Here is a 27,985-nt window from a genome sequence, read left to right as displayed (position 1 = left end):
GGAACACAAGGAACCCTTGTCAAGGGGAGCAGAAAGGGGAGTTGATGCTGTCCTTTTAAATAGGGCAATCAGAGGCCAGGCACAGTGGCTCACACTTATAATCCCAGCACTTTGGGAGTTCGAGGCAGGTGGATCACTTGAGGTCAGGAGTTCAAGACCAGCCAGGCCAATGTGGTGAAACCCTGTCTCTACTAAAACTACAAAAACTAGCCAGGTGTGGTATCGCGTGCCTATAATCCCAGCTACTCGGGAGGCTGAGGCGGGAGAATCGCTTGAACCTGGGAGGCGGAGGTTGCAGTGAGCCGAGATTGTGCCATTGCAGTCCAGCCTGGGCAACAAGAGCAAAACTTCATCTAAAAAAAAAACACAGCAAAAAAGGGCAGTCAGGGAAAACTTCCCTGAGAAGGGGATGGTGGAGTACAGATCCAGGGAGGTGAGGTGGGGAGCAAGCCAGTACAGTTGTTCCTTGACTTTCGATGAGGTTATGTCCTGATAAAGCCATGGTAAGTAGGAAATATTGTAAGTCAAAAATGCATTTAATACACCTAACCTACGGAACATCATAGCTTAGTGTCACCTACCTTAAACATGCTTAGAACGCTTACATTAGCCTACGGTTGGGCAAAATCATCTAACACAAAGCCTATTTTATGATAAAGTATTGAATATCTCATGTAATGTACTGAGTACTGTACGGAAAGTGAAAGACGGAGTGGTGGGATGGGAACTCTAAGCACGGCTTCCACTGCATGTGTGTTGCTTTCGCGCCATCATAAAGTTGAAAAGCGTTAAGTCAAACCACCGTACGTCGGAGGCCATCTGTATCTGGTAGGAGGAGTGTTTCAGACAGAGAGAACAGCAGGTGCAATAGAGTGCTTTTTTCCCAGCATTTTATTATGAAAAATTTCAAACATCTACCAAAAAAAGTTGAAAGACTTGTACGGTGAAAAGCCATACATCTCACAGCTAGAATCAACAATTAACATTTTACTGTATTTGGTTTTTGACTTATCTATCCTAGATCCCTTGTGCTTTCTGTAGCAGGTGACCTGCCTTGAAGATTTAAAGACAGAATATCGGGAAATGTAGTCAGAAAATGGGGCCTTTTATAAGAGTCAGAGGGGAAGAGCAAAAACTCTGCTTTCGAGAAATCTGTCGGGAGAGGCCAACTGCAGGGATACCTCCCTTTTTTAATGAAAGCATTTCTGTTCTGCGAGGAGCGGGATCCTCTTGTCAAGCAGTCAGTCCCTGCTGCTTCCTTACTGGGGCAGGATCAGGACGCACAGGGATTTGGAGTGCCTTGGAACCAACCACCACCCACGCTGTTTGCCAGCTGGTAAACATGCCTGTCAGGTCTAGGGGTTGGCATTGCCTGGAAATCTTTAGTGTTCATCTTGCTGACATCTGGTGCCCTCGGGTAGGTAGGTGCAGTTGGCTGCCTGGTTTACAGAGCTTGTACTGGGCCCAGGTTAGCAGGGGTCACATCCCTTTATCCCACTGTGCAGGGGAGTTCCTTCTCAGGAAACCCAGTTTATAAGAAGTACTGACTGCCAGAAATAGAGCAGAGATCAGAACCAGGAGGCAATTGTGAGAGGAATGGAGACTTCTGACCTCTGGGGATTGGGGTACCCTCCCCCTTAATTGCTGTTGGGGTAGCAGAGGGCTTAGAAGCCCATGTTCCTAGACTTTTAGAATTGGAAGAAGACTTAGAAGTAATCTAGGCTGGGGGTCCCCAACCCCCAGGCTGTGGCCCGTTAGGAACCTGACCGCACAGCATGAGGGGTAGGCCAGCGAGCACTACCGCCTGAGCTCCGCCTCCTGTCAGATCAGCAGCGGCATTAGATTCTCACAGGGGCACAAACCCTATTGGGAACCGCGCATGAGAGGGATCTAGGTTGCGTGCTCCTTAGGAGAATCTAACTAATGCCTGATGATCTGAGGTGGAACAGTTTCATCCCCACACCATCCCTCCAACCTCACCCCGGTCCATGGAAAAATTGTCTTCTACAAAACCCGTCCCTGGTGCCAAATAGGTTGGGGACCCCTGATCTAGGCTACAGTTAAGTGGTCAAACACCCAGGTCCTGAAGTTAGGCTGCCTGGGTTTAAATCCCAGCTCTACTGCTTACTAGCCCTGTGACCTTGAGCAAGTCACTTAGTTTTTCTGTGCCTCAGTTTACTCATTTGTAATAAAAGCTTAATAGTACCCATCCCAGTGTCATGAACTAAGTTCATATATGTAAAGTGCTTAGAATGGTGCCTAGCAAGTACTTAGTAACAGTTAGCTCTGAAAATGTATAAAGCAAAATTAACCAATGTTTTAGTGGTTTGCAGCCAACTTTTTTCTATGCGTGTGCTAACATATTATTTTATAAGAGTGGGAATATATTGTACATGCTGTTATATAACTTGCTTTTTCACTAAACAGTCTATCCTCTGTGTCAGTTTTGATAAAAGCGTTTTCCTCTTGCTTTTCCTGCATATGTTCAGAACCATCATATTGGTAGCAAGTTTCATGTCCTGCAGTTTTCTTAACCAACCCCCTGCTAGCGGACATTTAGGTTAGTCTCAGTTTTTTCCTTCTGTAAATAAAGCTGCACTGAGCAAGAAGTGACCGATGCCAAGTGACTAGATGACCTTAGGTATGACCTCTCTGGGTCTTGGTTTCTTGGTCTAAAAACAAAATGACAGGATTCGACTGGGTGATTAAAATCTCCTCTGATCTACATAGGAATTGTTTTCAAGACATTTCTGCATTCCTCTAGTGACAGGGTGCTCACTACCTCATGAGTATTTCAGTGGACAACTGTAATGGTCAATAAAGTATCCACTTTCCACCTTCCACTTCCCTGTAGCTCCTGGCCCTGGCTTTATTCTCTGGGGCTCCACACATTCAGTTTACACTCAGTGGCCAGTGGCTGGGGCCATTGTAGAAAATGAGGAAACTCCAATTCCTTCCTTCTTTTCTTCCTCTTTCATCCCTTCCTCCCTCCCTACATCCCTCTCTCTCTTCCTTCCTTCCTTGACACTTACCATGTACCAGACCTTCTGCCAGGCACATGGATGGGAGCACAGTTCCGGGAAGTTGGCTGCAGGGTTAGAACTAAGTCCCAAGCCCCGTAAAGCTCATGCCAGGGGACTGGACTGTCCAGTACTGAGGGATGGGGATGCTGAGGCTGGTGGCCTTCCTCAGATGCACTGTAGTGCCCCAGGCAGAGTCCTGGGCTGCCCTGTGAGGAGGTGACCAGAGGTAGAGCAACTTCACCCTAAGGCTGGATCAGGATCCCCTCCAGGTTTTTACTAGAGCCAAACCCACATCTCCTTTCTCTTCTGCCACCCCCCCTTAAAATGCTTAGAAACACATAGATTTAAATACAAGTTCAAATGTAAGTAATTTCAACTGTGTAACTATGAGGAGTCAATTCTACGTGGGTCCTATCTGTATCCTCCCCAGGGCTCAGCTCCATTCTTTGCTTTCATTCATTCTCATTCAATACATTGTTGTTAAGAGCTCACTGGGTGCCCTCTCTGTCATGTAGTAAGGTTTTAAAAAGAAAGCCTCTTCTGAGCTTCAGTTTCCTTATTTATAAAATAGGAGTATTGATCCGTTCCTTGCTTTTCTTACAAGGATATGCTGAAGATGACTGAAGTACAGAGTAAAGAAGGATTATGTTTGGGTGTCAAAGGAATAGAATGCCCTCTTTCAAACTGAGCACAGCAGGAACCTGTAACAGGAACACAGCAACTTGTTGAATGAATGACAATATTGGAAAACATACATTTCCTCCCCTCCCCATCATAGTCCCTCTGCTTCCGTGTTAACTCCATAGACAGGCCAGCACAGCCAGCCTTGCAGCCTGAGATAAGGCCTTTGGCGGGTGTCTCCCCTATCGCTCCCTCAAGCCCTCAAGTAGGTGTTGGAGAGAGGGGTGATGCCTGGTGCTGGTGGAACCCCTGCACAGAGACGGACACAGGATGAGCTCTAAGTACCCGCGGTCTGTCCGGCGCTGCCTGCCCCTCTGCGCCCTAACACTGGAAGCAGCTCTCATTCTCCTCTTCTATTTTTTTACCCACTATGACGCTTCCTTAGAGGATCAAAAGGGGCTCGTGGCATCCTATCAAGGTGAGAGTTCATTGGAACAGTGGTCACAGGAGCAAATAGCAGGGGCAGGGGCGGGGGAGGCCTATGGTTCTCCAGGGGCACAGATGTTCCTTTCTACAAAATCCCGAGGAAAAGATTCCCCCATCTTCTTCCGTAGATTGCACCGAAATTCAGTCAACAATGTAAGCTTTCCTTTAGAAGCAGCCTGGGCATGCCCTCTTCTGTGAAGCCTGCCTTGATTTTTCAGCACAGTGAGAGGCATCCTCTTTGGTGTTCCTCAAATTCCCTCTACCAAATGGTCTTCATAATTCTCTGCTTCTCTGCTTCCCCTTCTCTCTCCTTAGTGGCAAGGATTTTTTTTATTTTTATAGATTTAGGGGATACAAGTGCAGCTAGCTTATGCAAGCAATTTCATGTTGTTGGGTTTTCGGGTTTTGTTTCCTTTTTGTGGCCTCTCGCTCATTTCTTATTTCTTTTTGAGACAGGGTCTCACTCTGTTGCCCAGGCTGAAGTGCAGTGGCATGATCATGGTTCACTGCAGCCTTGACCTCCTAGTCTCAAGCAATCTTCCCACCTCAGCCTCCCAAGAAGCTGGGACCACAGGAGGGCACCACCATGCCTGGCTAAATTTTTTTTTTTTTTTGGTAGAGATGTGGGTCTCCCTGTGTTTCCCAGACTGGTCTCAAACTCCTGGACACAAGCGATCCTCCAGCCTCAGTCTCCCAAAGTGCTGGAATTACAGGCGTGAAGCACTGTGCCCAGCTCTCTTGCTCATATCTATACTAGTTTTCTTTTGGAAGCTTCAGCCTGTTGCTACCCCCCACCCCCACCCCCACCGACCCCAGCTTTCTTCTCACTTAGGGGCTGGGAAGTCTGCATGCTGTCTATAAATCCAGAACCAGAAGGTATGGCTGAAGGGGAGGGTAGGATGATGGTTATTTTATATTCAGCTAAAAATATTCCCAGACTGTGATGAGACAACTGTAAATAAGACAGATGTCCACAATGGTGTGACTTTGCTTTTTTAAAAATATTGAAATGAGTTTCAGGCATCTCAGTGGGCTGATAGGTTGTTGATAATGGACAGGGCCTCCTTGAAGAATGTCCCTGAGACAAAGTTGAAGCTTGAGCCTGGTTGAGTGCTTGCTTGTTCCTAGGTTGATATGAACGGCTAGTTAACTGGAAGCAAAGAGAAGTCATCCTGGGGGCCATGGCAGTGACAAGTAGGACTTAGGGAGGGAAGCCCTTATACCATTTAAGGTGCTGGCCCAGAGAGGAGCCTTCAGTGACAGACAAACAAGAGCTGGCACAATTTTAATTCATTTCAATTTACTTTAATTCATTTCAATCCAATACAATTCAATGCATTCCATTCATTCAACCATGTATGACATCCAATGTGGGATCCAGACACATGATGATTAGAACTGATATTTATGAGCACTTACTATGTACCAGGCACTATTCTACATGCTTTACATTGAACCCTCACAATAACCCAATGAGGTGGGTACTATTATGATCTTCGTTTTTCATATGAGGAAACTAGGCATATGGATGTTGAGTAATTTGCCCAAGGTCGCTCAGCTAGCAATAGCACAGCGTATTTAAATTTAGCCACCCTGGATTTAGTTTCCTTACACTTAACCATTATGCATCATGGCCCCATTTTACAGTGGCGTTGAGTCATTTGTCATATAACCCAGTAGGTGTAGCAGCCACTATTCCAACCCTGTAGATTGACTCTAGGGTCCATGTTCTTTACCCCTGCACCGTGCTACTAACGTAGGTACAAAATGTCCTCAGAAACTCACTTTATATGGAAGCTCAGAGGAGGGTCCACAACCCAGGCAGGGGAGACGATGGTGTCAGGGGAGGCTTCTGGAGGGAGGTGCCTGCCCAGCCAGCTCTTGAAGGCTCAGTAGGAATTACCTGTGGGACAAAGGCGGGTCATCCAAGTGAGGGCACAGTGGGTGCCATTGCGTGTGCACACACTAGAGCAGACTGAGCTTGGGCTTAACATTGCATTGCCCTGTAGCCTAAAAAGAGAAGCAAGGGGCTGGGCGAGGTAGCTGACACCTGTAATCCCAGCACTTTGGGAGGCCAAGGCTGGAGAATCACCTGAGGTTAGGAGTTCAAGACCAGCCTGGCCAACATGGCAAAACCCCATCTCTACTAAAATTATAAAAACTAGCCGGGTGTGGTGGCACACGTCTGTAATCCCAGCTACTTGGGAGGCCATTACACTCCAGCCTGGGCGACAGAGCAAGACTTCATCTCAAAAAACCAAACAAAAACAACAACAACAACAAAAAACAAAGAGGAGAGCAGGGACTGGGTGTGGTGGCTCATGCCTGTAATCCCAAACACTTTGGGAGGCCAAGGCGGGCAGATCACCTGAGGTCAGGAGTTCGAGACCAGCCTGGCCCATATGGTGAAACCCTGTCTCTACTAAAAATACAAAAATTAGCCGGATGTGGTGGCACGTGCCTGTAGTCCCAGCTGCTTGGGAAGCTGAGGGAGGAGAATTGCTTGAACCCAGGAGGTAGAGGTAGCTGAGCTGAGAATACGCCACTGCACTCCAGCCTGGGTGACAGAGTGGGACTCTGTCTGAAAAAAATAATAGTAATAAATAAAAATAAACAGGGAAGCAGTGGGTGGTAGACTCACTGGGCTGCATACGGAGTTTGGCTTCAGTCTGAGGTCCGAATAGTAAACAGGAGCGCGACAAGTTTGGGTTTGGGTCATGGCGGATGCCATGCCAGGGCTGGTGTTGGGCACAGGGGAAGGGGCATGGCTTGAGACACAAGACCAGCGTGGAGGCTGTAGTGTAGTATTGACCCGAGGGCTTCAACCTTCTGATGGTGTACACACCATTTTTTGAGCATGTACCATGGTTATATGTTACACTTTAAGTATTACTACATTAATATATTTTGTATGTTATAATAAATACATACAAATTAGGAAAATTGAAAGAGATCAGAATGAAATATATAATATTTTCAAATTACTAATCATAATGGTGTCAATCTCCAGGCAGGGTCCATTGCTACAGTTGACGATAGTGGATGAAAATTCACTCCTCAGAGTCTTCTTGATAATTTGAAATTGTCTTGATTGACTTGTCAGATCTGATTAGATCGACATTTTTTAAATCTCGAATGTGACTGACAGCTTGTACAAGGAGAAGTTTCACTCTGCCTTTCCTTTTTGTTCACTTGACTGCCATTATTTCTCTGCTTCCAATCTGTGTTTTTCTGCACGAGTTGGTTAAGCCATTACTTCATTTTGTGAAAGTTTGTTGAGTTAAACTTAGGTAACTTAATCTGTCAATCCACTTAATTGAATTCAGTCCTGGTAAACTATAATAGATTATTCAAACCTGCCAATTCTAAAAAGACATTTTGAGACAATCAGGAAATCTGAATATAGCATGAATATCTTACGATATACAAGGATTATTGTTAATTTTGTTAGGTATGATAAAAGCATGGTGGGTTTTTTTTTTGTTTTTGTTTTTTAAGGCTCTATCTGTTAGAGAGGCACATTGAAATGGCATGATATCTGGGGTTTGCTTTCATACCAGAAAAAAGAAAAAGTAGAGAAGGATTATAGAAACAAGATTGGTCTCATGTGACAATCATCAGAGTTTGGAGATGGGCACGTAGGGTCATCGTGCTGTTCTCTCTGTTTTCATATATGCTTTGAAAGTTCTGTAATAGTTAATTAAAAAAAAAAAAAACACCCTGGCTGAGCACTTAGGGAGGCCAAGTGGGGAGGATTGCTTAAACCAAGAAGTTCAAGACCAGCCTAGGAAACATAGGGAGACCCCCCCCCGCCATCTCTAAAAAAAAAAAAAAAAAACTGTAAAATTTAACCCAGTGTGGTGGCACATGCCTGTAGTCCCAGCTACTCAGTAGGCTGAGGTGAGAGGCTTGCTTGAGCCTGGGAGCTTGAGGCTGCAGTGGGACGGGATTGTACCACTTCACTCCAGCATGGGCGACAGAGCAAGACCCTGTCTCAAAAAAAAATGAAAATATTTGAGGTGAAGCGAGACTGTAATAACAAATTTAAAAATATAAATAAAACATAAAGGCTGGGTGCGGTGGCTCACGCCTGTAATCCCAGCACTTTGGGAGGCCAAGGCAGGCAGATCACGAGGTCTGGAGATGGAGACCATCCTGGCTAACATGATGAAACCCCATCTCTACTAAAAATACAAAAAATTAGCTGGGTATGGTGGCGGGTGCCTGTAGTCCCAGCTACTTGGGAGGCTGAGGCAGGAGAATGGCGTGAACCCAGGAGGCGGAGCTTTCAGTGAGCTGAGATTACACCACTGCACTCCAGCCTGGGCAACAGGGCGAGACTCCATCTCAAAAAAAAAATGAAAATAAAAATAAATAAAACATAAAACCCTGCCATTAGTTGCAACATGAAGAATATAGAGAAATGCGTATCAAATCCTTCTCATTGGACCAATATTCCCTTAGGGCACCTTCCAAAGCTAGGAGACTCAAGGCTGTATGACATCCTGAGCAAGTGAGGGGTGGCTTCTGGGTGAATCTGAATATTAAATATTTGCAGAATTGAAAACTTCACAAAGTACCTTTAGAGATAGAATAGCCTAGATCCATGTTTCTCAAAGTGTGGTCCCCAGACCTGCTGCCTCAGCATCTCCTGGAAATTTAGTAGAAATGCAGATTCTCAGGCCCTAGGCCAGACCTACTGATCAGAAGCTCTGGGCCTGGGGCCCAGCAATCTGTGTTTTCACAAGCCCTCTGGGTGATTCTTCTGTGCGTGAAAGTTCGAGAATTCCTGGAGCTAGACTGATTCAAATCTTGCCTCTGTATCTTAGAGACCTTGGGCAGATTAGTCAACCTCTTTCTGCCTCTGTTTCTACTTCTGTCAGAGGATGATAGTACTTGTTTCATTAAGTTGTTGAAAGGATAAATGAATTGACACACATAAAGAGTATTAGCTTTTATTATCAAAAGCTTTTTTTTTTTGAGACAGAGTTTTGCTCTTATTGCCCAGGGGAGTGCAGTGGTGCGATCTTGGCTCACCGCAACCTCCGCCTCCCAGGTTCAAGTAATTCTCCTGCCTCAGCCTCCCGAGTAGCTGGGATTACAGGCATGCGCCACCACGCCCGGCTAATTTTGTATTTTTAGTAGAGACGGGGTTTCTCCATGTTGGTCAGGCTGGTCTCGAACTCCCAACCTCAGGTGATCCACCCGCCTCGGCCTCCCAAAGTGCTGGGATTACAGGCGTGAGCCACCATGCCTGGCCCAAAAGCTTTAATTTCTTAATTTTTTAAATAAAATAAATAAAACTAGAATTGCTTGTTTTCTTCCAGCTACCCTGGTGATTGTATTGAGCATTTTCTGGGGTGTGTGTTCTTTGCTGTAATGACTACTGGTCTGGATGACCTGTGATGAGACCAGATGGGCAGGGGCAGTGGAGGAGATTCTAGAGATATTTAGGAGATAAAGTCAGCTGTACTTGATGAAAAGAGTGGGGAGTTAAGACTGGCTGCAGATGTATGATTTGGCATAGAGAGGTGCCAGTTCCTGAGGTGAGAGACAGAAGGGGAGGGACAGGTTGTGAGGATGAATGAACAATGATATGTTCATTCTGGGCTTGGAGTTAAGGGGCCTATGATATGCTTAGGGGAAGCAGAGAGTATCAATTACCTATTGCTGCATAACAGCCACCCCAAACTTAGTGGCTTAAAATAGCAACCTTTTAATTTACTCATGATCATGATTCTGTGGTGCAACAACTGGGCTGGGTTCAGCTGGGCAGTTCTTCTGTTAGTTTCACCCAGGGTCATTCATGCATCTGCAGTTTGGGGTGGGATGGCCTCAGATGACCTCATTCACATGTTTGGCAATTGGTGATTCACTGGGGGCCATTACTGTAACAATCGCCTACCAGGCAGAGCTTCCCTAAGGCTACCAAACTGGGAGACTATCCTGGGTCCTGTGCTGTGGATACCACTCAGTCCCCCATCCCCACCCCATACTCCTCAAAGGCAGAGAGAGGGGCTACTAGAAGACAGAGGAGTTTTCCCAGTGACATGTAAACACTCCAAACCCTGGCACCTTCCACACTGCAGCTTTGGTCTGCCCCTTTGGGAAATCTCTGTTTTTCTTCCCAGGCTGCTGGAGGGGTGAGAGTCGCCGGTAGAGTAGAGGCTGTGGGCGAGGAGGTGGCGGCCTCCTGAGGCTGCAGTGGTCTTTCCAGGCAGCAGTGGGAGCACAGGGTGGAGGTCAACCCTAGAGCCTGGGGGAGTGAAGCTGGTTCTGCCTTCAGAGCTCTTGGTGCTGAAGTTTCTGCAGGCCAGAGGGAGGGGCAAGAGTGGGAGGGGGTGCAGATCCAGAATCACAGAGGCAGCTGACCGGAGGAGGCAGCTGCCCAAGGGGATGGACTCAGAAGGCCAAAGTGCTGTTATCCAAACGAACTCTTTGCAAGTGGTCTCTTTGCAACAGGCCTGGGGGAGAGCAGTCTTGCCTAAAGTCACACCGCTAATCAGCGGCCGGCACGGGGTAACAGTTACTAACACTCACTACGTACCCAATGCTGGGCAAAGTGACTTGCATGAGCCAGCGAGCTCAATGCTCATGGCAATCCTCTGAGCAGCTGGCATTGTTTCATCTCAATTTTACAGCTCAGGAAGCTGGGACACAGAGGAAGAGCCAGGCTCTGAACACTGACAACCTGATTGAGAGACCCACACTGTTCATCACCGTTACGCTATATATGCTGTATAGAAAGGCAGGATGGCATAATGGTTAAACCTAGGTAGGTAGGGTTTGAATCCTCCTGCTACCATTTACTAGCTCTGTGACTTGGACTAGTTATAGCACCTCTCTGTGCCTCCCTTTCCCCCTCTCTAAAATGGGGATAATAAATCGTACCTCCTACCTGAGGCTGTTGTGGGCTAAGTCTGTAAGGCACGTAGAACAGTGCCTGGAACGTGGGGTACTGTCTATCTGTGTGCCTGCTGTTACAACAATGGTGAGTATTGCCTTATCTCTCGCTGCTGAACTACCAGGTTAGACTTCTTTCTGCAAGTCATGAGGCTTTCATAAACTTTTCCTGAAGGCTTTCCGTAGAATGTACAATTCCCCTCTGGGCCCAGGCATGGGCGCCCGGGTAGGACATCCACTTCTTATCACCCCTGAACACCTTAGAGCCCATCAGCTTATCAAACCAGCAGCTGATGTGAGTGCAGAGCAGACTGTGAGAGGTGGAGGCTGATACCAGTGAGGATGCTCCAAGCTGGGACCCAGCCCTGAAGCGGGAGCCCAGATAATGGACGGGTGGAAATGGGCCTGGAGCCCAAGAGAGGTGGGAGGATGAGGGGGCAGGGGGAGGAGAAGCCTGAAATCAAATGTTATTTCCTGACCAGTTTGGGGTGCATGAGCTCTGTCAACAGCTCATGGAAACTGCTGCCCTAATTTCATCTTGTTGGCTGAGGCACAATTCCTCTCTCAGGGACAGTGTAGAGCCTTGGGGAGGAAGGCCCTGAGCGCATATACCTGGAATCAGGGAATCGGGATCAGGGGCAGCAGCTGTGCCCGATAAAGCCCCCACCCAGGATCCTCTGACTTCCTCATCTCTCTTTTTTTTTGAGCCGGAGTCTCACTCTGTCATCCAGGCTGGAGTACAGTGGTGCGATCTCGGCTCACTGCAACCTCAGCCTTCTGGGTTCAAGCGATTCTCCTGCCTCAGCCTCCTGAGTAGCTGGGATTACAGGCATGCGCCACCATGCCAGGCTAATTTTGTATTTTTAGTAGAGACGGGATTTCACCATGTTGGCCAGGCTGGTCTCAAACTCCTGACTTCAAGTGATCTGCCCACCTCAGCCTCCCAAAGTGCTAGGATTACAGGCATAAGCCACTGTGCCCGGCCTTTTTTTTTTTTTTTTTTTTTTTTTTTAAAAAAAGGGTCTCCCTCTGTCGCCTAGGCTGCTGGAGTATAGTGATGTGATCGTGGCTCACTGCAGCCTTAACCTTCTAGGCACAAGCCATCCTCCCACCTCACCCTCCTGAGTAGCTGGGACTACAGGCACTTGCCACCACGCCCAAGTAATTTTGTATTTTTTGTAGAGACAAGGTCTTGCTATGTTGCCTAGGCTGGTCTTGAACTCCTCAGCTCAAGCAATCCTCCTTCCTTGGCCTCCCAAAGTGCTGGGATTACAGGTGTGAGCCACCACACCTGGTCTGACTTCCTAATCTTTAGGGCCCCAACTCTGCCCTTATCCAGGCAACTCTCCTCTCCCCATCTTCCACTAACTTCTTTGGAATATTCCAGAGCTGTAAAAGCCTTAGAGAGTATCAAGTCCAACTCCTATGTGTTACAGACAGGGAAACTGAGGCCTAAAGAGGGTAATGGACTTGCCTAAGATCGCTTAGTGAGGTGAGAGAAGAAAGAGCTAGAGACAGCCTAGCCTGTGCAAGGACATAGTTCCAGGCATTCAGAGCTGCGCTCTGCTGCCGGCATGTTTGGGGCCTGGTAGTTAGTTCACTGCTGAACTACCAGGTTAGATTTTCTTTCTCCAAGTTGTGGGGCTTTCATAAACTTTTCCTGAAGGTCTTCCTTACAATGTACAATTCTCCTCTGGGCCCGGTCATGAGCGCCCCTCACAGGCTCTCTCTGGTCCCCTTCTGTAAAATGAGAGGAAAATGGAAGAATTGCTCTACTCATGGAATCTTCAATAAGTCTGGACCCTATGCATATAGCATTGCTACAAAATGGCAGATGCACTTTAACAATCGTGTTTAATAAAAGGTTGGATTTGCATATCTGAAGTGGGGCATGCAGTCTCCAACTGAACACAAGCCTCACTGCTCCCACATGTGCACTGCACCTTCATATACATATTTCCTGCTTGGCTCCTGAGGGAATTTGAGTAATCCCAAGAGGAACCCCTGTAGAAAATGTCCCCTGGTCACACACCCCCATTCCTAAGGATGCAAGCAGGAGATAGAAACATTCCCTGCACCTCCCTCCTTGCTGTCAGAAGAAGTGCAAAGAGTTGAATCCTTCCTAATGCCCACTTCTCACCCACGCCCCAAATCCCCAGGTCCCGTGGAGGTCCTTGGGGGTCTCCTATATCCTGGTGGTGTCAGGTTGATTTGGAAATGTCAGTGTCCTCCCTTGTCCTCTCTGGCAGACCCTGGGTGTGTGTACGTTTCAATGGAAGTGAATTTAAATGTACTTTATAAATCAAAGACTTTTTCTGAGACTTTGGAGAGTTCCAGTAATGAGAGCTTCTCATTGTTATCAAAGCCAGGGCTGGAGACCAGTGGCAGGTGAGTTCCTATTGCTGTGATTGTCATGATGATGTTGATGAACAGCCACTATTTATTGAGTGTTCTCCATGTGCTAGGCACTGTACTAAACATTATTTCCTTCGGATGTCCCAGAAACCTCTCAGGTGGCTCTAATTACCCTTATTCTGTTGATAAGGAAAGTAAGCAACTTAGAAGACCACAGGGCTATGAAGTTGAAACACGTAAATTGATATTTTATTTTATTTATTTATTTATTTATTTATTTTGAGACAGAGTCTCACTGTGTCGCCCAGGCTGGAGTGCAGTGGTGCGGTCTCAGCTCACTGCAACCTCCGCCTCCTGGGTTCAAGCGATTCTCCTGCCTCAGCCTCCCGAGTAGCTGGGATTACAGGTGCCCGCCACCACATCCAGCTAATTTTTTTGTAATTTTAGTAGAGACGGGGTTTCACCATGTTGGCCAGGCTAGTCTCGAACTGCTGACCTCATGATCTGCCCACCTCATCCTCCTAAATTGGTATTTTTATATGTCCAAAAGAGTCAACTGGTGGCAATTTAGTGAGGTTTAATCTAATAGGAAATGATAGAGCTGGGATCGAACAGAGCTATGTGAACTCAAAACCTATGCTTCCCCTTCCACCTTTTCGAAAAACATTGTCTAGGCTGGGCACGGTGGCTCATGCCTGTAATCCCAGCACTTTGGGAGACGGAGGTGGGTGGATTACATGAGGTCAGGAGTTCGAGACCAGCTTGGCCAAAAATTAGCCAGGCGTGGTGGTGCGCGCCTGTGGTTCCCACTGAAGCACAGGAGGCTGAAGCACAAGAATCACTTGAACCCGGGAGGCAGAGGTTGCAGCAAACCGAGATCGCACCACTGCACTCCAACCTGGGTAACAGAGAGACTCTGTCTCGAAAAAAAAAAAATTGTCTACATGCTGGTTGCAGAAAATTTAAACACTAAAACTAAAAAAGTAAAACATCTCCCAAAGTTAGAGACAATATTCATGATGGGAAAAAAAAAATTCTTCAAGATTTCTCTCTCTCCAGTCATTTATTCATGTGCGAAAACAGTTGGTGATTATTGATAAGAAGAGGGAGGGCAGATGGTGTGGTAGTCCAAGGCACAGGCTCCAGCAGATTATCTAGGTTTAAATCTTGGCTGTAGGCCAGGCCCTGTGGCTCATGTCTGTAATCCCATCACTTTGGGAAACCGAGGTGGGCAGATCACTTGAGGTCAGGAGTTTGAGACCAGCTTGGCCAACATAGTGAAACCCCTTCTCTATTAAAAATACAAAAATTAGCCGGGCACGGTGGTGGGCACCTGTAATCCCAGCTACTTGGGAGGCTGATGCAGGAGAATCACTTGAACCCAGGAGGCAGAGGTTGCAGTGAGCCAAGATCTCGCCACTGTACTCCAGCCTGGGTGACAAGAGTGAAACTCTATCTCAAAATTAAAAAAAAAAAATCTTAGCTCTACCCACCGGGGCAAGTTACATAACGCCTCTGTGCCTTGGTTTTCATATCTGTAAAATGGTGACAGTAACAGCACCCATGTCAAAGTGTGGTTGTGAGAACGAAACAAGATAGTCTATGTAAAGTGATTAAAACAGCGTAGGCACATGGTAAACGCTTAGGAAATGTAGGCTGTTATAAAGCTCAGAGATGTTAAGTAACTAGATCAAGACCACACAGTTAGAGAGTGCCACAGTCTTGATTTGAACCCAAATTTGTCTCGTTCTGGAGCTCAAGCTGCTAACCCTTTTTCAAAACTGGAATTAAACCAAAGTGCTCACCCTCCGCTTTGCTGGGCCCCTCCCTGCCCTCAGGTGCATCTCTTCCACTCACCTGCCACAGCAGCCTCTGCTCAGGGTCTGAGACTGGGAAAGGTGAGGGCTACCCAGGTGGCCCTGATGTTTTCTGCCAGCCAGCTCACCAGGTCCCTCGCAGCAGGCGGCAAAGGGAGGGAGGTTTGCTGTGAAGATTATGTGGTTCCCAACAACAAGAGCACTGGGCCTATCTCTGCCCTCTCTTTTCTGTGTGTCCTGGGACAAGTCACTTGGCTTCTGTGGCTTTATTTTCTCATGTGCCCAGCCAGGGGGTTGGCCCTCATATGCAATAACAGCAGCAATGACCTTTACTGAGTGTCCATGTGCATCAAGCACGTGTACTTTACACTTGTTCTTATTATTAGGTTTAATAATAGAATAATTGCCACATTTACTGAGCACTCATTATGGGCCAGGCCCTGCCCTAAGTGCTTAATTAGCTTTAGCTCCTCTAATCCTTACCTTATCCCCACACGGCATGTTATGTTATCCCCATTATTCAGTTGAGAACATTGAGGCTCAAAGAGGCAAAGTAACTTGACCAAATACTTGTAAACGATCTTGCATGCCCCTTCCAGCTGCCATTTAGTAAGACTCTAATTTCATACCACCCTAAATCTCGTCTGCTTCCCCCTCCTCCTTCTCACCATCTCCCCACCGAGCAGTCGGCCAAGATCTGACCGTGATGGCGGCCCTTGGCTTGGGCTTCCTCACCTCAAATTTCCGGAGACACAGCTGGAGCAGTGTGGCCTTCAACCTCTTCATGCTGGCGCTTGGTGTGCAGTGGGCAATCCTGCTGGACGGCTTCCTGAGCCAGTTCCCTCCTGGGAAGGTGGTCATCACACTGTTCAGGTATTGGGATGGTGGCTGGATCACTTCTGGGTCATAGAGGGAATGGACCCCGAAAGGACAGGTTCCAGAAGATCTGGGATATTGCCCCCTCTCTGTCTAGCACCAGTGCTGTGCAATATTTAGGACATCCTTATGCTAAAAGATTATTCATTGTTTAAAATTCAAATTTAACTGGGCATCCTGTATTTTACTGGACAGCCCTACTCTGTGTATCACAAGGAATCCAGGCCTACATTCCTCCTGCATCCTTTCTTTCCTGTTATTGTCGATTATGATTTTGTAAAGTTACATAATCAGTATAAGTTTATGGAAAACGTAAGAAGGAAACACGTTAGACAGAGAGAAATAGACATGCCACACCTAGAGAGACATTCTATTTTTTTTTTTTCTTTTTTGAGACGGAGTTTCGCTTTTGTTGCCCAGGCTGGAGTGCAATGGCGCTATCTCGGCACACCACAACCTCAGCCTTCTGGGTTCAAGCGATTCTCCTGCCTCAGCCTCCTGAGTAGCTGGGATTATAGGCATGTGCCACCACACCTGGCTGATTTTGTATTTTTAGTAGAGATAGGGTTTCTCTGTGTTGGTCAGGCTAGTCTCAAACTCCTGACCTCAGGTGACCGGCCTGCCTCGGCCTCCCAAAGTGCTGGGATTACAGGCATGAGCCACCGCGTCCAGCCTGAGAGACATTCTCTTGAAAAGAAAGGACTTTCAGCCCCCTAAAGCTACTAGACAAGAAATAGCCATGCCTTTATTTTCATTAAATTACCTGTGCTTTGTTTAGATGCCTTTGTGTGAAATGCTAAGAACCATCACAACTAATGTATGGTGCCAGAAGTCAGAATAGTGGTTACCTGGGCAGGAGGTGGATATTGATTAGGAAGGAACACAAAATAGCCCCATGGGGTGCAGAAAATGTTCTCTGTGTTCACCTGGGTGATGATTACACATCAAGCTATACACATTTTAAAAGGGCATTGGCACTTAATAGAAGGAACTAGGCTAAATTTTTTCCTGAAACATTGTTTTGTTTTGTTCAAACCTCTGAATCTCTCAGCTCCCCAGATGATGGTAAACGTCATCCTAGGCATCTTAGGGACCTCTCAAGGCCTCTCAAGGCCATTCCAGCCTCCCCTTCTAAGACCCTGCTAAACCTCTGGGCACTGCTGTTAAACATTTCTCTATGAGCCAGGAACTGTGCTGAGCACTCCACAAATATTATTTTGTTTAACTCTTCCAGGTAGGGATCTAACCTGGTATACAGGTAAGGAAGTGGAAGCTCAGAGAGGGCAAGGCACTTGCCTAGGGCCACACAGCTAAGTGGTGGAGATGGCTCTAACTTTTTTTTATAACCTTTTCCACATGCTCCAGAGTGGTCAGAACATGAAACACAGTCTAGCCAGCTCCTGACTGGCCCTAGAGGAAAAAAACTGTATGTATTTTTCTTTTTTAAAAGGTTTAGAGGCTGGGCATGGTGGTTCACGCCTGTAATCCCAGTACTTTTGGGAGCTGAGGTGGGCAGATCACTTGAGCCCAGGAGTTTGAGACCAGCCTGAGCAACGCAGTGAGACCCTGTCTCTGCAGAAAATAGAAAAATCAGCTAGGCGTGGTGGTGTGCACCCACAGTCCCAGCTACTTGGGAGGCTGAGGCAGGAGGATCACCTGAACCCAGTGAGGCTGAGGCTGAGTGAGCCATGATCGTGCCACTTTACTCCAGCCTGGACAACAGAGTGAGACCCTGTCTCAAAAAACAGTTTTAGGGGCCGGGCGCGGTGGCTCATGCCTGTAATCCCAGCACTTTGGGAGGTGGGGGTGGGCAGATCATGAGGTCAGGAGATGGAGACCATCCTGGCTAACTCGGAGAAACCCTGTCTCGACTAAACATACAAAAAATTAGCTGGGCGTGGTGGCGGGCGCCTGTAGTCCCAGCCACTCGGGAGGCTGAGGCAGGAGAATGGCGTGAACCTTGGAGGCGGAGTTTGCAGTGAGCCGAGATCGTGCCACTGCACTCTAGCCTGGGCGACAGAGCGAGACTCTGTCTCAAAAAAAAAAAAACCAAAAACAACAGTTTTAGGCCAGGCGCGGTGGTTCATGCCTGTAATCCTAGTACTTTAGGAGGCCTAGACAGATGGATTACCTGAGGTCAGGAGTTCGAGACCGACCTGAGCAACATGGTGAAATCCTGTCTCTACTAAAAACACAAAAATTAGCTGGGCATTGTGGCAGGCACCTGTAATCCCAGCTACTTGGGAGGCTGAGGCAGGCGAATCACTTGAACCCGGGAGGCGGAGGCTATAGTGAGCCGAGATCGCGCCATTGCACTGTAGCCTGGGCGACAGAGTGAGGCTCCGTCTCAAAAACAAAACAAAACAAAAACCATCTTAGAGTTAATTCCCACCGGGATTCAATACACACACACACACACACACACACACGCACGCACGCACGCACGCCCGCATACACACACTGCATCCACCTGGAAAGTGACAAAGGGCACCCTGGGGGGAATTCAAATGGTGGTGGCCCTGGTTTGGTGTTGCTGCCTTAGCTTAAGGTCACACCAGCCTTCAGCCTCCTGCCCCACAGTCTAGGGCTGCTCCCTTCATCTGATGTCCACAGGGACCTGTTCATTCTTGACTCAATCCAGGAAGATGAGAAGGGAGAGAAGTCACTCGCAGCCTGAGTGAACTCCCTTGCTCCACCCCTGACTGCTTGGATCCCCCTAGGGGTGACCCCTGCTGAAACTGGCTCCTTCCTGACCGGTTCCCGTCAGGGCTGTGCTGATGGGTGGTGCCCAGGCCTGCCCCTGGGGACGGGGTACTCTCCCTTGGCAACACTCCAGCTTGTGCCACTTGACTTGGGACTGATTTGGTTCTGTTTTGAGTCCCTTCAGGGGAGGGGCCTATCTTATTCAACGTTGTTGTTTGTTTTCCTCACATACTGATAACTTAGCAAATGGCTATTGGAACAAAAATGAAAATAAATGGAACCCTGAAGTGGGATGTTTTAAATTTTTATTTATTATTTTTTTAGAGACAGGGTCTTGCTCTGTTGCCCAGTCTGGAGTGCAGTGGTACAATCATAGCTCACTGCAGCCTCTGCCTCCTGGGCTCAAGTGATCCTCCCACCTCAGCCTCCTGAGTTAAATTTTTTTACAGACGCCTGCTACCATGCCCGGCTAATTTTTGTGTTTTTAGTAGAGACGGGGTTTCACCAGGTGGGTCAGGTTGGTCTCGAACTCCTGACCTCAAGTGATCCACCCGCCTAGGCCTCCCAAAGTACTGGGATTACAGGCGTGAGCCACTGTGCCCGGCCTAAAACTGTGTTTGAGACAGGGTCTCACTCTGTTGTCCAGGCTGGAGTGAAGTGGCATGTTCATGGCTCACTCAGCCTCAGCCTCACTGGGTTCAGGTGATCCTCCTGCCTCAGCCTCCTAAGTAGCTGGGACTATGGGTGCACACCACCACGCCTAGCTGATTTTTCTGTCTTCTGCAGAGACAGGACCTCACTGTGTTGCTCAGGCTGGTCTCAAACTCCTGGGCTCAAGTGATCTGCCCACCTCGGCTCCGAAAAGTACTGGAATTACAGCCTCCTGAGTAGCTGAGACCACAGGCACACACCACCACGCCTAGCTTTTTTTTTTTTTTTTTTGCTTTTTGTAGAGATGGAGTCTCACTATGTTGCCCAGGCTGGTCTCAAACTCCAGGCCTTAAGCAATCCTCCCACCTCAGCCTCCCAAAGTGCTAAGATTACAGGTGTGAGCCACCATTCCTGGCCTTAAAAGTGTGATATTTTTAATGTATTTTGAAATCTGCAGGACTCTCCCTAGAAGATAATAGCAATAACCAACTCCTTTATTGTGCTTGACGTATATCAACTCACTTTGCCCTTACCGTGGCTCCAGAGGCATTGGGTCCACCTTATAAATGGAGGCACCAAGGCACAGAGTGATTAAATAAGTTGCCCAGGATCACACAGCCAGAAAGTGTCTGAGTCAAGATTCCAGCCCAGGCAGCCTAGACCTGAGAGCACGCTCCTAACCACTGCACATCACTGTCTTAGCACCTCCTCAGCACAAACTGGCCCTTGAGGAATGAAATACCGCCGCCGGCACACACGCTCCTGAGTTAAGCCTTTGTCAATGAAATGAACACCCACTTAAAAGGAATAACCTGTCCAGGCACGATGGAACATTGAATAACCCCTTATTCTAAATTCCTGGTCCCTGTAAGACTCCTTCCCCATGCCCTTGCCCTTTTATGACCTTCCCCTAAAGTCCTTGAGGCTTAAGCGGGCATAGTCTGCAGCAAACACTGGGGAAGCTGAGTCCAGACTTCAGAGCACAGGCTTTGGATCTAGGCCAGCTGGATTTGAACCTCACATTTGTGATCAGCTGGCATGACTGTTTCCAAAAAGTCCATTTTAATCCTCTACGTGACCCTCTGTAAAATGGGGATACTGAACGGTGAGCTAGCACGATTTTACAGAGAGTGAATTTTTTTTTTTTTTTTTTTTTGTGAGACAGAGTCTTACTCTGTCGCCCAGGCTGGAGTGCAGTGGTGCAATCTCGGCTGACTGCAACCTCTGCCTCCCGGGTTCAAGCGACTGCCATGCCTCAGCCTCGAGAGTGGCTGGGATTACAAGCATGCACCACCATGCCCGGGTAATTTTTGTATTTTTAGTTGAGACAGAGTTTCACCATGTTGGCCAGGCCACTCTTGAACCCCTGGCCTCAAGTGATCCACCTGCCTTGGCCTCCCAAAGTGCTGGGAGTACAGGCATGAGCCACTGCGCCCAGCCTTATAGGGTTAAAATTTAAAAGAGGTGATGCTGTTACAAGCCTGTTTTACAAAATGCTCTTATAATAAATCATTATCATCACTGTTGCTGTGGTTGTAGCATCATCATCATTAACTCCCAGAGGGAGGAGGGAGTCTCAGAGCAAGCTGCTCAGGGGAGACTGGATGTCCATGGATTGTCCAGCTCAGTACCACTTCCTCCAGGAAGTCCTCCCTGATAAGTCCAGTCAGCATCACCCTCTCCTTCCAATGAACCCCACTAGCCTTGTGATATCACAGATATTCTTAGTTGACAGGCTCATGGTGTATGTAGCCTGTCTAGATCATAAGTACATTTTTTTTTTTTTTGGATCATAAGAACCTTCAAGACCAAAATAATTTTCTCCTCCTGAGCATGCTCATTGGTCAAGGGAAGGAAGGAATCGTAATAGTGTTAATAAGGCTAGTGTCTTTTCAGGAGTTGGTTCTTTGTGCCAGTCTTGGTGCTAGACACACCGATAGGAAGAATACTCCTTCACATCCCCAGGACACCAACATGGGATACGTTTGATCATCATTCTTAATTTGCAGAAGGAGAAATAGGCTCAGTGAGATGAAATAGCCACTCCAGTGGCAAGGCTGGGACTGGAAGCCGGGCTTGTCCTGATTCCAAATCCAGTTTCTTTCCACTGCCACGGAGAGGGAGAGAAGGGACAGTGGCCCCAGATGAGGATGGGGTGACTGGATGTGGGCAGGCCTGCGGGGGAAGAGTGCCCTCTGTTGAGCATCCGAATGATGGCAGCAGAAAAGAAGACTGGGCAGAATCCCAGTTATCAGATCCCCTGAGGGAACAGTCACCCCGATCACCCTCAGTCAGATGAGTGTGTGTAGATCAATGCCTCATAGATGAAGGCACTGAGGCACAGAGTGGTTAAGTCATCTGCCAGACCACATGGCTCAGGGTGCAGAGGCCACCTTAACGGGAGAAGAGATGGTCACTCCACTCTGCAGCATCAGCGCCCAGGTGGGTAGAAATCTTGTCTTCTATTTCCACAGAAAGTAAGGTGCCCAACAGTGTTTGTTGAATGAATGAATGAATGAATGAATGAGTGAGAGGCATCCTTCCTTCTCAGTCATCCTGGCTCTCCTTCTCACCCCCAGTATTCGGCTGGCCACCATGAGTGCTATGTCGGTGCTGATCTCAGCGGGTGCTGTCTTGGGGAAGGTCAACTTGGCGCAGTTGGTGGTGATGGTGCTGGTGGAGGTGACAGCTTTAGGCACCCTGAGGATGGTCATCAGTAATATCTTCAACGTGAGTCATGGTGCTGGGAGGAGGGACCTGGGAGAAAAGGGCCAAAAGCTCCATTTGGTGGGGCTTCCGGGGTTTTGAAAAATAAAGACAACCTGTAATCCCAGCTACTTGGGAGGTTGAGGAGGGAAGATCACTTGAGGCCAGGAGTTTGAGACCCGCCTGGGCATCATAGCAAGATCCTCATCTCTAAAAAGTAATTTTTTCTAAATTATCCAGTTGTGGTGGCATGCACCTGTAGTGTCAGTTACTCAGGAGGCTGAGGTGTGAGTTGGAAGGATTGCTTGAGCCCAGGAGTTAGAGATGAACCTGGGCAATATAGCAAGACCTCATCTCTAAATAAATAGGTAGGTGGATAGATAGATAGATAGATAGATAGATAGATAGATAGACAGACAGACAGACAGACAGACAGACAGACAGGCTGGGTACAGTGGCTCACACCTGTAATCCCAGCACTTTGGGAGGCCAAGGAGGGCAGATCACCTGAGGTCAGGAGTTCAAGACCAGCCTGGTCAACATGGGGGAACCTCATCTCTACTAAAAATACAAAATTTAGCTGCGCATGGTGGCAGGTGCCTGTAATCCCAGCTACTCAGGAGGCTGAGGCAAGAGAATCGCTTGAACCCGGAGGGTGGAGGTTGCAGTGAACTGAGATCGCGCCATTGCACTGCAGCCTGGGGGACAAGAGCAAGACTTCATCTCCAATAAAAAAAAAAGAAAAAAGAAAAGAAAAGATTGATAGATAGATAGATACCCAAATGAGGTTACAAAAGTGTGGTCTGTGCAAATGTTTAAACACAACAAACCAGTGCCTTTAACTACTACAGTATAATCCTGTAGGATTGTGCTATTCATGATGTAATTATGGTTGTATAAAAGTAATTAATTCTCAGAGCCTCACCAGCAGTGGGTCCAGCAAGTTTGTACAGCCAGCATCTTCTTTCAGTCAGTGCGTGTCAGTAACTGCACATGTCCTCTCATTGGGAGAGCCTGTCGAAAGTCTAAGTTTGAAGGCAGCTGTGAAGGTAAGGCCAATCCAAATGGCTCTCCCAGCTCCTCTGCTGTAACCCTGACCCTGAGTGAGGACATAGCCAACCTTCCCATCTCATAGGTGAGAAGGCTGATGCCTGGAGAGGGGAAGGGACTGCCCAAGATCACATAGCAAGATAGTGGCAGAACCCAAGCGAGAACCCACAGTTCCAGCCTGGCTTAGAAGAAAGTGCACTGGACTTGGAGTCAAAGGCTGGGGTGTGCATCCCAGCTCTGCCATAAATCCCTGTGTGACTCTGGGCAATTTAACCTCTTAGAGCTTTAGTTTCTTCGTCTGTAATATGAGGGTAGCAGTACTACCACATAGGGTTTTGAGGGAGTAATTGAATTAATCACATGAAATGATGCACGTTTACAAAAAAAAGCATGAAGCCCCTTTACTGTGCCTCAGTATCCCAAAGGACTTTGGATTTACTCTGAGAAATACAGGGAGAACTAGGGAGTGTTGGGCAGAGGAGAGCTATGATCTGACTTATGTTTTAAGATACTCTGGCTTCTGGGTTCAGAAAAGACTGAAGGGGCAAGAGAGGAAGCAGGTGGAGACCAGAGCAGCAGTGATGGCCATCATCCAGACTCAGACTAGGACAATAGCTGTGAGGGTGGTGGGAAGTGATTGGATCCTGACTATATTTTAATAGCAGAATTGACAGGATTTGCTGATAGACTGCACGTGGGGTGGGAGAGGGTCAAGATGACTTCAAGGTTCTCATCTGGCACAACTCAGCAGCTGCTGGTGCCATTTACTGAGATGGGGAACATTGGGGTGGGATAGATCTGGGAGGGAAAACCCAGAGTTCAGTGTCGAATGTGGTAGCGTTAGGGTTAAGGTTGGGGCGGGTAGAGATGTGTATGAAACATCCCAGTGGAGACACTGAATGGAGATGTACAAGTCTGAAGCTTAGTGGAAAGGTTAGGGCTAGGGATATAAATTTGGGAGTTGTTACAATACAGATGGTGTTTAAAGCCATGAGACCCAAGGAGATCACTCAGGAGTGAGGATAAAGAGAGATGGGAAGAAGTCTGAGGACTGAGTCCTAGAACACCCTGCATTTTAGAGGGGGGACATGTGTAAGAGCCAGCAAAGGAGACAGAATTGTGCTTGGAGAGGCAGGAGGAAGCCCAGGAGAGCGTGAGGTCCTGGAAGGCAAGGAAAGAGAGGGCCCCAGGTGGGCTGAATGCTGCTGAGAGGTCAAGTCGGATGAGGGCTGGGAAGTAGCCATTGGATTTGACAAGGAGACCTTGGCATGCATGGTTGTAGAGGAGGATGAAGGCAAAAGCCTGGCTTGACTGATTCAAGAGCAGGAGATGAGAAAGTGGAGACAGCATGCAGGGGCAGCCCTGCCAAGGACTTTGCTCTAAAGGGGAACAGAGAAATGGAGGAGAAGCAGGAGGGCAATAATCCGATAGAGAGGAAAAATCTGATGATACAGAAGAGAGATGAACTGCAAGAGTCAAGCCTTTGAGTTGGAAAGCAGGAGTGGGATTTTGAGCACTGATACCTTTAGGCCGATGCAGGGACAGTTCATCTTTTTTAAAATTATTATTATTATACAACATTTTATTTAAAAATTTATTTTCACAGAATACATTTTCACATTAGAGATTCCCATTGTGCGAAAATAACAATTTATTACTTATAGTTTTATATTTGTGGACAGATTGTTTTAGAACAAGTAGAATACATTTGAGAATTAAATCTCAGTTTACAATGGGTAATATTTTGATACGTCTATGGGGAAACTTGCCCTTAAATGGAACTTCTGTATCTTCAGAAGCACTCCAAGCGTTTCTTCCTAGGATTTAGAAATTTATAATATGAGATATCAGCATTTCCTAATTTTAAAATTTCCCTAGTATATGTAACCATCGGTAGGTGGTATCTACCGACTAGAGAGGGAAGTTTTTGAAAATTAAACACTGTCTAATTTTCTGCAAAGTTTTTATTCATGAATTAAGAGTATTTCCCTTAGTCCATTATTCCCAAGGCAAATATGGAAGTTTGATCATATGCTAATCATACTAAAGCTGGATTCTCTTTAAGAGATTGAGAAATTAAAAGGCAAAAGCTGATATATCATGTTTAGTTATACTGTGAGTCTTATAAGAAGCTGGGAGGCAACCCCATTAACTCACCAGAATACAGAACTCAGTCTCACAACTTAAATATAATTCCTCTCAAACCTTTTCCTCAAAGTTAAATTCTGAAAATAATCTTGTGATTAAGAGAAGAAGGCTGTCCACCAATGGACTTATCTGTTATTTCTTCCTTATTGTGAGCTTAATGGCATGACAAAGCAGAGGCAAAGAGGCATACATCAATTCTTCAAAGTAGGAAGTCAAAAAGGTCAGAGCTTCCACAGCATGGCAACAGCTTTGCAGATGCCCACATCGTGATAGTTGAAATAGCAAAGCCCAGCAAAGGTTAAAGCTGAAAATGCCAAAAGCCCTGCCTTGGCAGCTTTCTGCGAGGCATCCCCATGAACATAGTCAGTAACAACTTGTCCAAGGCCCCAGTGACCATGAAGAGTGAGGGCTGCAGCCAGGGAATAGTCCGTCGCAGAGCAAGGATTCAAATAAGCAGCCGGAAGCAGACCCGGGAGCAAAACACTGACAACCCTCTCGCTAGTCCAGTGGAGAGATGCAGCCTTGGAGCCAGAATGGTGGCTCGGTGACAAGTGTATGTGCTGCACTCCACACCATTCTGGGATAGGTCGGTCCTGAAGAAATGCTGAGATATGAGCAGGTCTGACCACTGGAGTTCGCAGCAACAGAGCTCGGCCTCCTTGGGCACCGCAAACGGCACTCAGCCTCCAGAGAACCGCCATCTCGTTCCTGAGGCGGAGAGTTCATCTTAACGAGAGAAATGGCAGGGACTGTGAATAGGCCGGCAGATTTGGTGGCGGGTGCCACAGGTTCAGTCTCCTGCAGGGAGAGGAGAAAATGCCTTACTAATTCCTTGTATTTTCTCAGAGAAACAAGAGGCACCGTCATCAGCCTCATGTGAGGGTGGGAAGGAGGGATGGGGTTTGCGGAGAGGGAAAGTGTGGTATGGTCATCTGTGGGAGTGGAAGAGAGTGAGAGGGCTGCAGGGGTGCAGCGGGACTGCAGGCTGGCACCAGGGTCCCTAGGGCTTGTAGTTGGTGGAAAGTGCATCAGTGACCAGGGCTGTGTGCAGCTGCTCCAGGCAGGTGTGGAAGAAGCAGAGTTGAACTTGCCCAGCCTGGAGTGCTGCCCAGAGTGAGCCCAAAGCCCAAGGGAGACCAGAGATGGGGCTGTTTGCAAAGGAGGAAGTATAACAGTAGCCCACAAAATCTGAGCTGGTTAAGAAAGGAGAGAGAGTGAAAATGGGGAGCCCAGCCTGGCAGCCTGGGTACACATCTCAGCTCAACCCACACTAGCTGAATCCATTTGGGCCCCTTCGTTGACCTCTCTGTGCCTCAGTTTCCCTATCTATAGAATGGGGATAAGAATAAGGCTACTTCCTAGGGCTGTTGTGAGGATTGAACAAGTGACCGAACACTTGTTCAATTTTGAATACTGTTCTAAAGCATTTAGGACAGTGCCTGGCATGGGGTAAGTGTTGCGGCAGTGCTGTTATTTTCATCATCACCATTGTTCTCAGGCTGCGTTGATTGGAGCTGCTGAAGGGAGGCAATTTAAGGAAGTGAGCCGGACAGATAGGAGGTGGTGGTGGTTATCAGGTGCGATGCTTGAAACTGAGGCTTCGGAGGCAACAGTTACTGGTAATGACAAGGTCTAAGGCTTGACAGTGGGTGGCAGAAGTGTAACGCAGGGAAAGAGACGAGCGGTCAAGGAGCCGAGAGGGAAGGAGTTGGGTGGACTAAGATCATTTGTGGAAGAATGATGGAGAGAAAGGCTGAAGGGCAGGAACTGACATCATCAGTGACCAAGGGGCGGCCAGGAGGCTGAGACCGCAGCAAGAAAGGGAGAGTGTGATGGCATCTTCTTCAAGGGAGCTGGGGATGTTTGGGGTGGAAAAAAGAACAATGGTCTGGGAGGGAATATGGGAAGTTTTTTTTTTTTTTTTCAGATGGAGTTTCGCTGTTGTCACCCAGGCTGGATGGCAATGTTGCAATCTCGGCTCACTGCAACCTCTGCCTTCCAGGTTCAAGTGATTCTCCTGTCTCAGCTTCCCGAGTAGCTGAGATTACAGGCACACACCACCACGCCTGGCTTACTTTTGTATTTTTAGTAGAGACGGAGTTTTGCCATGTTGGCCAGGCTGGTCTCAAACTCCTGACCTCAGGTGATCCACCCGCCTTGGCCTCCCAAAGTGCTGGGATTAGAGGTGTGAGCCACCGCGCCCAGCCTGGAAGTTTGTATTTATTAATTTTTGGTTGTCTTCATCTGTGTATGTGACTTTAACCCCTAAATACTTCAGTGTACATTTCTTTTTTTTTTTTTTTTTTTTTTGAGACAGAGTCTTGCTCCATCACCCAGGCTGGAGTGCAGTGGTGTGATCTCGGCTCACTGCAACCTCCGCCTCCTGGATTCAAGCAATTCTTGTGCCTCACCCTCCCGAGTAGCTGGGATTAGGGGCATGCCACCATGCCCAGTTAATTTTTGTATTTTTAGTAGAGATGGAGTTTCACCATATTGGCCAGGCTGGTCTTGAGCTCCTGGCCTCAGTTGATCCACCTGTCTCAGCCTCCCAAATTGCTGAGATTACAGGCGTGGGCCACCATAACCGGCCTCAGTGTATATTTCTGATGCAGTTGGGTTCTGTATCCCCCTCCAATCTCATCTCGA

General features: G+C 47.5%; 1 protein-coding gene and 1 pseudogene across 11 annotated transcripts in view, besides 1 other annotated feature; one reads left to right on the top strand and one right to left on the bottom strand.

The window, feature by feature from the left end:
- The window catches only part of RHCE (Rh blood group CcEe antigens), a 67,955-nt gene that overhangs the window by 5,443 nt on the left and 34,527 nt on the right, over positions 1-27,985 (top strand). For 7 of the 11 annotated variants that reach the window (NM_138616.5, NM_138617.5, XM_017002014.3 and 4 more), the window contains 3 exon segments: positions 3,826-4,122; positions 15,892-16,078; positions 22,015-22,165. In NM_138616.5, coding sequence (NP_619522.3) covers positions 3,975-4,122; positions 15,892-16,078; positions 22,015-22,165 — 486 coding nt within the window. In that variant the 5' untranslated portion in view covers positions 3,826-3,974. 11 annotated transcript variants of the gene reach the window in all.
- Positions 10,418-10,919: an enhancer, noted in NCBI's record as "H3K4me1 hESC enhancer chr1:25740333-25740834 (GRCh37/hg19 assembly coordinates)". NCBI's record gives its function as "activates a minimal SCP1, AML or CMV promoter by ChIP-STARR-seq in naive H9 embryonic stem cells {active_cell/tissue: H9 hESC(naive)}" and the evidence as "EXISTENCE:reporter gene assay evidence [ECO:0000049][PMID:30033119]".
- SDHDP7 (succinate dehydrogenase complex subunit D pseudogene 7) lies at positions 24,757-26,066 on the bottom strand (annotated as a pseudogene).

This window comes from Homo sapiens, chromosome 1 (genome assembly GCF_000001405.40).
Source record: "Homo sapiens chromosome 1, GRCh38.p14 Primary Assembly".
Classification (NCBI taxonomy): Eukaryota; Metazoa; Chordata; class Mammalia; order Primates; family Hominidae; genus Homo; species Homo sapiens.
Note: the sequence above shows the minus strand (reverse complement) of the source record. Positions and strands in the feature narration are given on the sequence as shown.